This window comes from Homo sapiens, chromosome 4 (assembly GCF_000001405.40).
Source record: "Homo sapiens chromosome 4, GRCh38.p14 Primary Assembly".
Taxonomy (NCBI): Eukaryota; Metazoa; Chordata; class Mammalia; order Primates; family Hominidae; genus Homo; species Homo sapiens.
The window spans coordinates 183,664,178-183,678,862 of record NC_000004.12 but is presented as its reverse complement, the minus strand read 5'-3'; the positions used below and the strand labels follow the sequence as shown (position 1 = coordinate 183,678,862).

Below are 14,685 nucleotides of genomic sequence, written 5' to 3'. Positions count from 1 at the left end.
TGTATTTGGGGCAAAAGGAAAAAAGGAAGAAACAAAGCCTAAATTTATTTCCATATGCTTGTTACAATTTTCACTTTTATTTTTTAAGTACAAAGGAACACATGAAAAGTCAGTCTCTCATCCATTCCTGTCTCTCAGCCATCTAATTTCCCTTTCTAGAGGCAATCAGTTTCTGCCATATGCTTCCTGATATATTCTACACACAGATAAGTATGTGTATGCCTTTCTAGAAAACTATTGTTTTTATACAAATAACAACATCACACTAAATATGCTAATCTGTGACTTTATTCATCTTGCAATATATTTTGGGTATTATTCCATATCACTACATAGAGCGGCCTCATTCTCAACAGCTTTTAATATTTCTTTGTTTACAGTTATAATTTATATAACCAATCACTTACAACTGGGTTGTTTCTAATCTTTTCCTATTAGAAAAAAACAGCGAATTAAAGTATCTATTTGGCCATACATCACCAACACAGAGTCAGGCATCTTTAAGATGAATGTGAAAAAACTAAAAGCAAACCAAACAGCCGTTGCTTGACTTCTGAGGGCACCTATTCCTGTGATAGACAATCTCAAAATAAAATGCTCAAACAGTAGGTATAAAAGTTTCCTCTGGCTGGGCGTGGTGGCTCACACCCGTAATTCCAGCACTTTGGGAGGCCGAGACAGGTGGATCACGAGGTCAAGAGATCGAAACCATCCTGGCCAACATGGTGAAGCCATGTCTCTACTAAAAACACAAAAATTAGCTGGGTGTGGTGGCGCATGCCTGTACTCCCAGCTACTCAGAAGGCTGAGGCAGAAGAATTGCTTGAACCCAGGAGGCAGAGGTTCCAGTGAGCCGAGATCCCACCACTGCACTCCAGCCTGGCAACAGAGCAAAACTCCGTCTCAAAAAAAAAAAAAAAAAGTTTCCTCTAAGGTGAATAGACACTTCTTTTCTGTGCCATTAAACCAAGAAGAAGTCACATAGTTCTAATAATTTTATCCTTTAAAACTCAGTAATACAGGCAGCTTTCTTCTCAACTCCTCCTTGCTCCCACTGAAAAACAAAACAAAAACCAAAAAACCCTCCAAACTTTTAAAACCTCTAGAACTTATCAATTCAAAATACAACTACTATAAATAGCCTGCTAAGAATCGATGCCCTTCTGAGAAAAAGGATATAAAAGGGGAGATCATAATTAATCAAATACTAACTTTTCAGAGCAAGAAATTAATTTTGATGTTCAAATTTTAAAAAGATAATTTAATATTGAAACACAAATTCCCTGTATTTGGAAGCAGAATTATTACCTTGTAGTTTATAAATCCTGCCATAGTCTTAATTTCCAGAATATTAGTTTCATGGGCTCTCAATTCGTGTACAAGATTATAGGCGGTCCTATAATTCCTAAATGAGGAGGGTGGTTAATGATATAAATTAGTTTAATAAACGATTTCTAAGAACCAAATCACTAGAAATAACAAAGAATATTTACTCAACATTTTAGTGCTCAACAGCTCAATAATGTCAATCTCTGATTTCCTGATAAATGAGCCATTAGTTATTAAATATATGAGAGGAATCAATGATTTCATAAAGAACAGAACCATGACATGTGCGTTGTTCTTCCTGTCATTAACATCTGTCAGTAACAAACAGATAACTTAAAAAAGGAAATTGGACAACTGTCCAGAAAAATCAGCATTCTGTTAAAAAACATAAGTATTTTAAAGTACCATTACAAGCTCTCAAACAAATAGAAATTTTATTAGCAAAGGTGGTATCAAGACAGCACAGGTCAGCCAGGCACGGTGGCTCACACCTGTAATCCCAGCACTTTGAGAGGCTGAGGTGGGCGGATCACTTGAGGTCAGGAGTTTCAGATCAGCCTGGCCAACAGGGTGAAACCCCGTCTCTACTAAAAATACAAAAGTTAGCCGGGTGTGGTAGCACAAGCCTGTAATCCCAGCTACTCAGGAAGTTGAGGCAGGAGAATCCCTTGAACCCAGGAGGCAGAGACTGCAGTGAGCTGAGATCGTGCCACCACAGTCCAGCCCAGGTAACAGAGGGAGATGCCATCTCAAAAAAACAGCAGCACAGGTCAACAGCTTTTTAACCCCAAGTACCTCTACAGGTTAAGTGAATATTACTGGCCTCAGGTAAAGTCTACAGAGCAGGGAAAGATGTCCTTCGGGCAGCTCACGCTGAAGGAGAAGCATGGTGAGAAAGGAGGGCCTGCTGGGAACAGGGCCTACCTTGCACATGGAAGGAAATGAGGAAATCTCAAAACAGGCTTTTCATAGAAAAAGTTTGTTCATAACTTTTCCAGGTAAATGTATTTCTTTCCAGAATTATTTTTGAACAGAACTGAAATTGAAGGATTTAAACTAATACCATCGATAAAAATGAACTACAGGCCAGGCGCAGTGGCTCACACCTGTAATCCCAGCATTTTGGGAGGCCAAGGTGGGTGGATCACCTGAGGTCAGGAGTTCGAGACCAGCATGGCCAACATGGTGAAACCCTGTCTCTACTAAAAATATAAAAATTAGCTGGGCGTGGTGGCAGGCACCTGTAGTCCCAGCTACTCGGGAGGCTGAGACAGGAGAATCACTTGAATCCAGTAGGCAGAGGTTGCAGTGAGCCGAGATCGCGCCACTGCACTCCAGCCTGGGCAACAAGAGCAAAACTCTGTCTCAAAAAAAAAAAATGAACTACATTAAAGCCAGTTATATGAAGTTGTTGAGATTCAGGAAACACAACTTGGTGCTTTGGTACTTAAACATCTCAAAACAACAACAAAAATAAGATGTTTCTGCAATATTCCTGTGAATAATAAAATTATTTTTATTTATTTCTATTTTTCTTTGCCCTCCTCAATTTTGGGATAAATAGCTGTTTTTAATACCTTTGTCTTCAAAAAGTGAGTTAAAGCTACAAAGAGGTCAAGTTTCATTGAATTCTGCTTCGTAAAAGCAAAGGACTAAAATATTTAACCACTGCCAACACATCTGCAACTAATCTTCAAGGCTCTAAGCAGAGACTTCAAATGGAAAATGATGCAACTGACTGATAACATTAAAATTTAATTTAAAAAATTGAATTTAATAAATGTACTAGTGTATAAACCTATAAAAATCAATAGTCTGGTGCTCACTTCAGCAGCATATATGCTAAAATTGGAGCAACACGGAGAAGATTAGCGTGGCTCCTGCGCAAGGATGACATGCAAATTTGTGAAGAGGCACATTTAAAAATTTATTTTGGAAAAACAAAGTCCGATTTAGATAATGTTTAAATCAGCCTCTTACAAGAATTTTACAGAGTATACACAAAATAAAGTCAAGAAGATGGGGAAAATTTTAATATTACATTTCTGTGGCTCATAAAATTTAATTAATCAAACCAGAAAGCTTTATGACACAATGAAATTTACTTCCAATAATAAAATGAAAATTTTTAAAAATCCTAAAATATTATACTCCATTCATCTCTACACTAATTCCTAAATCTAAGCAATATGAACACTTTAAACTTAATTATACTTTGGCTGAGATTCAGAAATTTCCATCACATGTTATTGTTAATATAAAAATAGGAAACATTTAGTTTGAAAGCTTAACTTACTTCAGCGCATTTTGTGTATCTTGTTTCAACTCACTGAAGAAAGCTATTTTGAACTGATGCCTAACAAATAAAAGCTAAAAAGAGACAAAAAAATTACTATTATACATATTCTATTTAAAATGTGAAAATTATAATGTTTATTATGAGGAGACATAAAAGAATGAAGAAAAATATTCAAAACTGAAATACAAGAATTATTCCCACAAATAAAGGCACAATTAAGAAGGCTATAAAAATCTACCTTTAAGAACTTTAAAAGCAAAGAGTTTAATTTAAAAACAAATTAATTTTTAAAAGCATTGAAAAAAACTTTAGAAATGCTGAAACCATTTAAAACATTAAAGTATTAAGAACATGTAATAATCACCTCAAAAATAATAATAATCCGCTCCAGAATGCTTCTATTATTGCAAAAAATCACGCACCTGGTGTGTTGTTTTATTCAAAAATTCTTTATGAGATTTCACTCTTCTGATCTCAGTGTAGTAATAAGTCTGTGCATGTTCATAAAAGGCATTTTCCAATCTGTAAAAAACAAAAACAAACAAGCATTTACATATTGAATTATTTTAAACCAAACTTTTCAAGAATATTTGTGAGACCTGAAAGTAAAATGGTGACAGAAATATCTGTTTTACATTATGAATAAGACAAAGTGAAGCAAAAGATAACCTGAATTTTCAGATCAAAAAGTCTAAAAACAAGACCATCCAAAAGCCATTTAAAATTATTTATAATACAGGATACAACAAATAAAAATACCTTTCTCTGATTCATAAAAACTTGGTAATCTTTTTTTTTTTTTTTTTTTTTTTTTGAGACAGGGTCTGGCTCTGTCACTACCCAGGCTGGAGTGCAGTGACGCAATCTTGGTTCACTGCAACTTCCACTTCCCTGGTTCAAGCGATTCCTGTGTCTCAGCCTATCAGGTAGCTGGGACTATAGGCATGTGCCACCATGCCTAGCTAATTTTTATATTTTTAGTTTAGGTGAGGTTTTACCATGTTGGCCAGCAGGGCTGGTGTTGATCTCCTGACCTCAAGTGATCCGCCCACCTTGGCCTCCCAAAGTGCTGGGATTAGGATCACAGGTGTGAGCCACCGCTCCTGGCCTAAAATTTGATTGGAATCTCTAAAAGCACATTCGCCCCTACTATTTTATATTTTTATAAAAAGTCTGAAAAAAATTATTAATCAATTAGATTTCAGTTTTTTGGTGATTTTAGTATTTAGGATTTAAAAGAATAAGAAAACTAATGGGGAAAGAACCAAAAATGAGAACTGGCAAATAAGGTGAAAACATTTGTGTGATTTAAATCCTCCATCATTCTATAACTTACATAGGAACAAGAAAATCTGACCAGAGATGGATACACAACTCAAGCTTTCTTTGGTGAAAAGAAGTTATCAGGAGTTATCTGCCTAGGGCGTGAAAGAAAGCAGAACTCATAGCCAGATAAAAGACGAACTTAAATATCAGCTATTATATTTTATATTTGATTTTCTAGGTTAAGATATTTCATTTCATTTCATTTCATTATTTCATTTCATTTCATTTCATTTTTGAGACAGGGTCCCGCTCTGTTGCCCAGGCTGGAGTGCAGTGGTGCAATCAAGTCTCACCACAGCCTCAGCCTCCTGGGCTCCAGTGATCTACCCACCTCAGCCTCCAGAGTGGCTGGAACTACATGCATACATGACCACGCCCAGCTAATTTTTATATTTTTTGTAGAGACGGGGTTTCACCATGTTGCCCAGGCTGGTCTCAAATTCCTGGACTTAAACGATCCAAATGCCTCGATCTCCCAAAGTATTGGGATTACAGGCATAAACCCTCATGTCCGGCCTTTTAAGATTTTTCTATTTTCAAAACTGTAGTTTTAAAAATGTTAAAATATGACAAAATTAGAATCTAACCTTGAACCAAATAATGTGTGAAGGAATGTATTAACCTAAGCTATCCTTTAAATTTTGCAAATGGGGGCCGGGCACAGTGCTCACGCTTGTAATCCCAGCACTTTGGGAGGCAGAGGCGGATCACGAGGTCAGGAGATCAAGACCAGCCTGGCTAACACGGTGAAACCCTGTCTCTAATAAAAATACAAAAAATTGGCCAGGTGTGGTGGTGGGCACCTGTAGTCCCAGCTACTCAGGAGGCTGAGGCAGGAGAATGGCATGAACCCAGGAGACGGAGCTTGCAATGAACGGAGATGACGCCACTGTACTCCAGCCTGGGCAACAGAGCGAGACTCCATCTCAAAAAAAAAAAAAAAAAAAATTTGCGAACGGGTAGCAACAAGGCACTGACTAGAATATCTAATGTTATGGTAGCCAGAAATATGTCTACAGACTATTCTGAATGATTCAAAAAACAAAAACAAAAAATCCTTCTCAATAGAGAATCAGTATTATTAATCTAGATTGTCTCAGTAAATATCAAAGATAAGTGTGGTTTTAGTTTTCAAGCTGAATGTGTACTTAGAGATAAAACACCTGTTAAACAGTCAATACAGAAGACTGAGAGTAAGTAGGCTTGGTAAGTGCTATTATTTCCTCTAAACTGAGGGATACAGAGTCAAATCTTTCCCTCGCTTTAACCGTAACAGGCTACAGAGACATCACGGGATAGAGCATAAGTGTTGTAAGGCTTCCACTTTTTAATTCATACACTTCTTTATTATTTGAGGCTTATTTGGAGAAAACCTTATAACCAGTTTCACAAACATAAATAAATAAACGACAAATCTAGTCAAGACATAAGGCTGTTAGTGAAAAGACCAATTCTCTTACCAGATACTCAAACATTACACTTTTAAGGCAACACCAAACATTAAGAATGCTCTTTTAAGGAAAGAGACCTTCAGTTTTTTTTGTTCTACAATAAAAAAAAATCCAACCGATTCAGTCTTCCCATTTAGTGATTTAAACTAGCTGAACTTCAGATGTCCATGCTTTTTTATGACATTCCTCTGTCCAAAATAACCACTACTTCCTCCCACTAATCCACACCTTCAAGCACAGTTGCAGGCCTTCCTCTTCCTTAAACCTTCCCAGGTCACATCTATTTATTTCTTCTCTGAAATCCTGTAAGACTTACAAACTATATTACAGAATTTACACTTGCAGTGCTCTGTGGAATTTAACATGGATGCTTTTGGTCTCCACAGTTAAATCAGCTTCTTTATGAAGGTAGGAACCTGATCAACTTGTTTTGAGCTAGACAAGATGCACACGTACATACACATATACAAATACGCACACAATTATCTGTATTTTATTGTTTGACCTGTCTCGAAATAGAATTTATCCTACCAGATAATTTAGGTTAAACTTTTAATTACGAGCTGCTCCTTATTCTAACTTTTTATTAGAACACATGTATATTTACTCTTAGCAATATTCATATAAAGATCACCTGGAGTCCATTTTCTGCCACCACTGCACTAGCATATCAAGCAAGCACATTTTTCAGAGCATACAAACATATATTTTAGCCACTGCAACTGAACTTTGAAAAACGAGCACCGATTCCAGGAAAGAGAGCTACCGGTTTTCAGGTGAAGGACATTCTAGCTTCTAAGTTATAGATGCAGATTTATGTCTAAAAGGGGTGTTCCCGAATTTTGTAAAGTACCTAAGAGGCAAAAATATTCACACAACTTTGGAGGACAAAAGGAGGACTACTGTATACTTAAAAGGAAGTTATATTGAAGGTAGATCCTGTGCTAAAGGCTGCAAATAAAAGGCACAAGAGCAGAAGCAGGAGCAGCAGTTGGGGCTGCGGGGGATGAGGGGTGGGGTCCTTACATCCTTTCTTCCTTTCTCCTCCAGCCTTTTCAGGAAAAGGGGACAGAAGGGAGAGTGAAACACTGCTTCAATACTGTCCCGCCCAGCCAAATGCTTACAGCAGTTCCAATTTTTAATTTATGGAAAGACGAAGATCAGAGACAAAAATCTAACTGCATGAATCTGTACATCTGCATACATCGTTTTGTATTTTTAACAACGGAGTTCAAGCCCATGGAAATTCTTTGCTTCAAATAATTTTAAACTAATTAGAAAACCGCTTCCAGGGCCGGGAACAGTGGCTCATGAATGTAATCCCAGCACTATGGGAGGCCGAGGTGGGCGGATCACCTAAGGTCAGGAGTTCGAGACCAGCCTGGCCAATGTGGTAAAACCCTGACTCTACTAAAAATACAAATATTAGGCCAGGCATGGTGGCTCACGCCTATAATCCCAGCACTTTGGGAGGCTGAGACGGGTGGATCATGAGGTCAGGAGTTCAAGACCAGCCTGGCCAAGATTGCCTGTAATCTCAGCTACTTGGGAGGCTGAGGCAGAAGAATCACTTGAATCTGGGGGGCAGAGGTTGCAGTGAGCCAAGACCACGCCACTGCACTCCAGCCTGGGCGACAGAGTGAGACTTTGTCTCAAAAAAAAACCAAAAACCAAAAGCAAACAAATTAGCCGGGTGTGGTGGTGCATGCCTGTAGTCCCAGCTATTCAGGAGGGTGAGGGAGGAGAATCGATTGAACTTGGGAGGCAGAGGTTGCAGTGAGCCGAGATTGTGCCACTGCACTCCAGTCTGGGTGACAGAATGAGATTCCATCTTAAAAATGAAAAGAAAAGAAAACTGCTTCCAATATTTTCCAGAGCCATTTTTGGCATATTCTCTCTATAGCACAACTTTCCTTTGAGAAGCATTTGCTTTCTTACTCATTATTAAACTGTCACCTTTGTTTTGAAAGGCAAAGTATGTGCGTGGTTTTTAAACAGCTGCTAGTAAGCATGACACAGACAGCCTATTGTCCTAAGAGGAAAGGTCTGAACGTTGGGAACACTTACTTTTTAATAAAAGAAAAAAGCTTACTCGAATCATTAACTTGGACAACTCCTGTATTTTGCCTTGAAATGATCAGCAAACTTCTCCAATACAAAAGATTTGCACAATCACTCCCAATGCATTACAGAAGTTTTATCAAGATTCTAACATTTTGACACTTAAAAAAACACTAATGAAATCATTGTAGCATGTATAGGTAATACCTCGAAAGGCTCTGAAAGCACAGGAGTAAGTGTGCCATCAGTAGCTCCACTACTTCCCTCCCAGATCAATGAGATGAAGATGTCCTGATATTCAGCTTTACTCTCTCTCTCTCTGAAGATAAAATATAAATCTGAAGAAAGGGTCTATGAGTTTCCTCATCTCCAATGGACTATCTTATGCACTCCCCATCTTGTATCCACATGCTGGAGGCTATGGACCCAGGGCACTTGTTTTTACATCAGTTATTTTGACAATGTACTCCTTATTGAAATGTTTCATCATCCACAACAAAACTACAAGTGGTTAAGGGCAGAGGCCCATCCTCTGTTTCTCTTGAATCCATGACCGCCTAAATTTGAAAGCTGTGGTGGGCAGGATCACTGATGGTTAAGGTAGGGTTCTCAAGCTCAGCACTGCTGACATTTCGGCCAGGTAATTCCTTGTTGTGCAGGGCTGTCCTGTACGCTGTAGAGTGTGTGGCAACATCCCTGGCCTCTACCCACTGGAAGCCAATACAGCAACCCCCTCAGTTATGGCAATCATAAAAGTCTCCAGGCATTGCCAAATAGTCTCTGGAAGGTAATGCTGCTCAGTGAAGAGTCATTACAGCAGGGTATAGCACAGAGGACAACAGCTTTCTAATGAAGGCTTCGTTGAAGCCTTAAATGTTGAGTAAGAGAGAGCCCAGAAAAGGAGAGCTGGCAGGTGGGCATGACTATGAAAGCATCTGACAAGGAACAGCACTGTGAATAGGAAAGCACTGAAGTGCAGAGTCAATGGTGAGCTGTCCAGGCCTGGAGAGCTGAGGCCAGGTGTGATGCTGGGATGAGCCTCAGTGGAAAGAAAAGCTGCCTGAGTGTGCTACCAGCTGCCCCTCTCTTCTCTCTGTTCCCTATTGCTCATATGTCTGCATTTAAGGAATAAAACTCATTTATTCTTTTCCTCTGAATTCTAAGCAATTATCTCAATGTTACCCTGGGCACCATGGACTTGATTTTCTGTGGTGTGAATTCTACTGTTTACTGCTTCCAGTGTAAAGATTTATTTTGCTAATTGCATTTAAGTTTCTTTGCAATTCATCTTTTCATTTGATCCTATTCCTCTGCATGTTCTCTGCTAAATGTATGCTTCTCTTTCTTAGAAGCCTGGTCTTTTATATACCAGTGAGAAGGCCAGGTAACCTCCTGCAGCGGATCATTTTCAGAGGTTTGCTTCTGAGAAAGAAACAAATGCAAGAGAAGCAATACTCAAAAATAAATAAAACTGTTCATGAGTTAACGAAGGACACTTATGCAGAATGAAAAGGAAAACCATTTTACAGTCAAAATCAATGAAAATATTCATATCTAAATACATCCTAGCATAAAATGTACTACTACAAAACTTCTGTGTGACAATAAATGCTACAAAACAATGAATAATGACCACATGATTTTTGAGGTAATGTTGTGTCTCCAGGTAATCTGCCCTTTATACACAAAGGCTTTATAAAAATATTTAAGATATGATAGGGCTCACACCTTCCTAAGAAATTAGTGACATAGATACATCGACAGCTCAAGAATGAAGCAAAAACAGGCCAGAGTGGAATGGAGACACTCTCACAAAAAAGGACATACATGTCACTCAAGGACATGGGTAATTACTGGAAAGTATAATGGAGAAACATATAAACTTTGTTTCTTTAAATAAAGTTGACCTAGATGCACATATGGAAGCATGTTAATGAGGTAATGTTAAGTGGAAGATCACTGTGTATCATATGAGCACATTTATGTTTTTGTGTTTGTGTGTGTGGTATGGATACTATAAAGAAATACATATATTTGTTCTTATACAAAAAGACTTTTTTTGGAAGGAAACTTGAGCAACTGTTGATACTGGTTACCTCAGGGAATTGGAGAGGGTTAAGAATTTAACAAAAAAGACTTTTATTTTTACCCCATAGCCTCTGTATCATATGAATGTTTTTCATGAACATGATTTTTTAAAAAAATAAATGGGTCTAAGCTACCAATTTCTCAATTCTTAATAATCTAAAAAAACAAAACTTTAAAAGACCTCTACTTACCTTATAATATAACCCACAAGGTGGTCAGTGTGCGGCAGTACAAACAAAGACTTTCCTGAGAGTTCACATGCATTGCATAAAGCTGCAGCCCTTTCTGAAGCAATGACATCTTCTCCTGTTGATAATCCCCATCAAGATGAATGAGAAATAAAATAACTAATGTAGCTTCCCAAATAAATATTTCCCCAAGTCTGAAAAAATAGAATTAGGAATAAAAACCCAAACAGCTTTTCATCACACCAACAGGACTCCTGGGCTCCTTGAGAGCTCTGTGTGGTTCTTAGAGGTTACACAGTATATGCCTTTTAGGAAAACACTGTGGAATTTTCTACTGAGCCAGGATAGGTGGCCAAGTAATGCCAACAGATATACCACATAACTATTTCAAAAAACATAACTAAAACTGGAAGCAATAATTCATGAAAGAAGTCTCCAAAACCATTTTGGATGCTATAAGTTTCAACACAGAAACAAAAATATATTTTGGTCTACAAAAGTCTGGGAAAGTGGAAATAAGAATCTGAAACTAAGACATTTTCCAAGAGAAAACTACAAATCCTATAGCCTTTTTCTTTGCCCTACAGAAAATTAATGAAAAAATTTCATATAAGGAATACAGCTTCAAATAGATCTTAGATAAGTAAATTATATTCTTTTTTGGAAAGCTTTGGAAGTCAAAAAAAATTATACTCTTGTAAAAAAATTCAAGCGAATTGTTTTGTGAATTGAACATGCCTTCCTATATCCCCTACATAAGAAGACAAGTGGAACAGGGGAACTAGGGGAACTTGAGATTTGCATTCTTCACTATCTTTAATTTTTTACAATAAGCATTTGTTCATGTATCATTGGTGCTTTTTAAAGTTAACATACTATCAGCCCCATAACTGAATGCATAAAAGATTTAAACATCCAAAAAACCCCTATCTCCCTTTAATAAGAATTGGAGGTATAAAACAATTAATTCATTAATTAGACTTCTGATACCTGGGGGCAAAGGGGTTTTCTTCTGAATCAGAACCACTGCAACTTTTGTGTTTCTTCCTTGTAAACTTTGCCTGCAATGAAAAAGCAAGAATAAAATTAATTATTTTAACTTAAAAAATGTATTCATGACTTCACATAAAATACAACCTTGGTCATTCAACCGAAGATAAATTTCAACTAAAAAAACCAAGATCAGAAGAAATCTTTTCCTGCACACAAAGCACATATATGTCACAATGATTTAAATTCTAAAAGTATGATCTCACATCTTCTAATCTTAAAAATCTTCCTTAAAAGCAAAAGATTAATGTATACTTTTACGTAAAAGTTATAATGCAACTTACTTCTTTATGGTGATACACTGCAGAGTAGTCATCCAAAAGAATTAATTATTTGAAACTTAAACAGTGATAAAGCAAAGCGTTTTAAGAGACTAAACAGTAAATTACTATGTCTCCAAAAAAGATAATACAAGAAAAACATTTGGAAATTCAGACCAATTAGTCTTCTAAATTTCTTCACGTACCCAGCATTATATACAGTCAATAATTATGCTACCTGTGAGGAAGTGAACAAGATTCACTGGAGGTCAATCCGCAAAGTGACCACTGCAGTCTGAACGGTACTCCATTGCCTTCAAGGAATGTTAGTGAATAACACACATGTGCAAACTGACATAGCTGCCCTGACACAGAAGATCATACCTGACTATTTCCACTCTGGTGGCGCACTCAGACTGCTTTTCTTTCCACTGAGGCTCATCCCAGTCCAGTTCATAGAACACAACCACCAGGGCTGGCACCAGATTCAGATGCTTATTCATCCAGCCAGTCTTTAAGATCCCTTTAGGAATGTACCACTCATATGAAGTTCTCTGCAAACATTGGCAGAAATTGAAAAGTTACCTGACAGGAGCAGAAACCACCTGTTACTGAGTGCCAAGCACTTTATGTGCATTGATCTCATTCAATATACACACCTCCCATTTTTGATTAGGAAACTCAGGCTTACAGATTCAGTAAGAACTAGTAAGTGTTGAAGGTGGAATCTCAACCCTGGAGAAGCTATACTTCCCATTTAAAGAATGACTGAAGCCAAAGAGTTTCTATCAGCCCCATAACTGAATGCATAAAACGATGATGCATGTCTAATGATGTCAAGGGTCTCAAATACTTTGCTAAAGAAAAAAAAAAAAAAAAAAGTAGCCCATTTCCAGGTAAATTCTACTTATATTCTTCACCATTCCAGCTTCTGTTCTTGTAAAACTGCTCAAATAAAATATTATCTAAAATCCAATAGGCTTTGTTTATTTCAAAGACATATTGCTGTGATGCATTTCACCTCACTTGTAGATGAAGTACAAAGCAGAGAACAATTCTTAAACAGAAGCTTCACAGCAGCCACTTGAGTCTGGGCACTGAGTGCCACAGAGTGGGAAGAGGATGCTGTAGATTTGAGTGTTAGCCCTGAGGGATGCAGTTGAAACCTCACATTCCTTCCAAATCAGCTGTGCTGGCTCAGACTACTCCACTTCATGGTGATCCAATGTCTACCTCCAGCAAGGAAAGATGAGGTCAATAAGGAAGTCTGACACAAAATAACATGGGGACTCAGCCAAAAGCTGGGAATAGAGAAATGAAAAGCAGCTTGAATTCGAGCATTAAGAGAAAAGAGGGCTTGTGCTGGGCTCCCTGCCTTCTTGACACAAACATGACACTAAAGAAAAATAATCATGTAGGCCTGGCACGGTGGCTCACGCCTGTAATCCCAGCACTTTGGGAGGCCAAGGTGGGCAGATCACGAGGTCAGGAGATCGAGACCATCCTGGCTAACACGGTGAAACCCCGTCTCTACTAAAAATACAGAAAATTAGCTGGACGTGGTGGCGGGCGCCTGTAGTCCCAGCCACTCGGGAGGCTGAAGCAGGAGAATGGCACGAACCCAGGAGGCGGAGCTTGCAGTGAGCCGATATCGCGCCACAGCACTCCAGCCTCGGGGACAGAGCGAGACTCCGTCTCAAAAAAAAAAAAAAAAAAAAAGAAAGAAAAGAAAAATAATCGTGTGAGGGCCAGGGCTGGGATGCTATTACTTGCACAATTTCAGAGAGCTCAGTTTCCAGGGCTGAGTATATGAAATGTTGTCGTGTGGTTCTCAAACACACACAAAAATAATCAGCCGGTGACCAAGTCCTATATTCCCAGAAACCAAAGAGGAGGGCTGCAATCTACATTTTTAATAAATACCCCAGGTTATGATGACATACTTGGTCCAGAGACTACTATGTCAGAGACACTGCTCTAGGGCAAAAGAAAAAAAAAGGATAGGGGTCAGAACTAAAAGGGTTTTATCACCTAACTTTCAAACCAACCTCATAAGATTATGATAAATAACAAATCACTACACATAAACTGCTTAAAACAGTAAACTGTTTTACTGTTTTTTTACAACTATGTTAGCTATTAGTGATACTATCATCATGATAATAATTATTATCTAAGGTAAAGTCGTCTTTACTATGTCGTTCACCTTAAAAGTCAGTTTTGAACTTAATACCTTTCTTCATTCCGCAATGAATAAACTGTGTTAGTTTATGTAAAACTCCTCAAGAATAGGGAACCTGTCTCACTTAAATTCGTATCACTAGCTTGTTGCATGGTTCCAGGTACCTATCACAAAGCAAGTGCTCAAAAAATCTGTGAAATTGAGCCACATTGCACAGACCATGGGATTCAAAAACGACATTAGTAATGATGGTGGGGAATGCAAGACCTTCCTTTTAGAGGGGACTATGTTGGGTTTTTTCCTAAAAACAAAAAAGGGAAAACCTGGGCTCATAGGATAGAAAGCTTTATAAAGTAATTATTCCTCTGGAGTTTAAAAAAAAAGAACTATTATTAAATATACATGCAGTGTATTACATGAAAATGCCTAAGGCTTTCTTTATGCACCACTG

At 37.9% G+C, this 14,685-nt stretch overlaps 1 protein-coding gene and 1 pseudogene across 5 annotated transcripts in view; one reads left to right on the top strand and one right to left on the bottom strand.

Moving 5' to 3' along the window:
• The window catches only part of TRAPPC11 (trafficking protein particle complex subunit 11), a 54,297-nt gene that overhangs the window by 34,727 nt on the left and 4,885 nt on the right, over nucleotides 1-14,685 (bottom strand). For all 5 annotated transcript variants that reach the window (XM_024454180.2, NM_021942.6, NM_199053.3 and 2 more), the window contains 6 exons: nucleotides 12,437-12,606; nucleotides 11,733-11,803; nucleotides 10,746-10,860; nucleotides 4,051-4,150; nucleotides 3,626-3,699; nucleotides 1,309-1,405 (listed from right to left, as the gene is read on the bottom strand). In XM_024454180.2, coding sequence (XP_024309948.1) covers nucleotides 1,309-1,405; nucleotides 3,626-3,699; nucleotides 4,051-4,150; nucleotides 10,746-10,860; nucleotides 11,733-11,803; nucleotides 12,437-12,606 — 627 coding nt within the window. The remainder of the gene's footprint in view (nucleotides 1-1,308; nucleotides 1,406-3,625; nucleotides 3,700-4,050; nucleotides 4,151-10,745; nucleotides 10,861-11,732; nucleotides 11,804-12,436; nucleotides 12,607-14,685) is intronic.
• RNU6-335P (RNA, U6 small nuclear 335, pseudogene) lies at nucleotides 3,148-3,260 on the top strand (annotated as a pseudogene).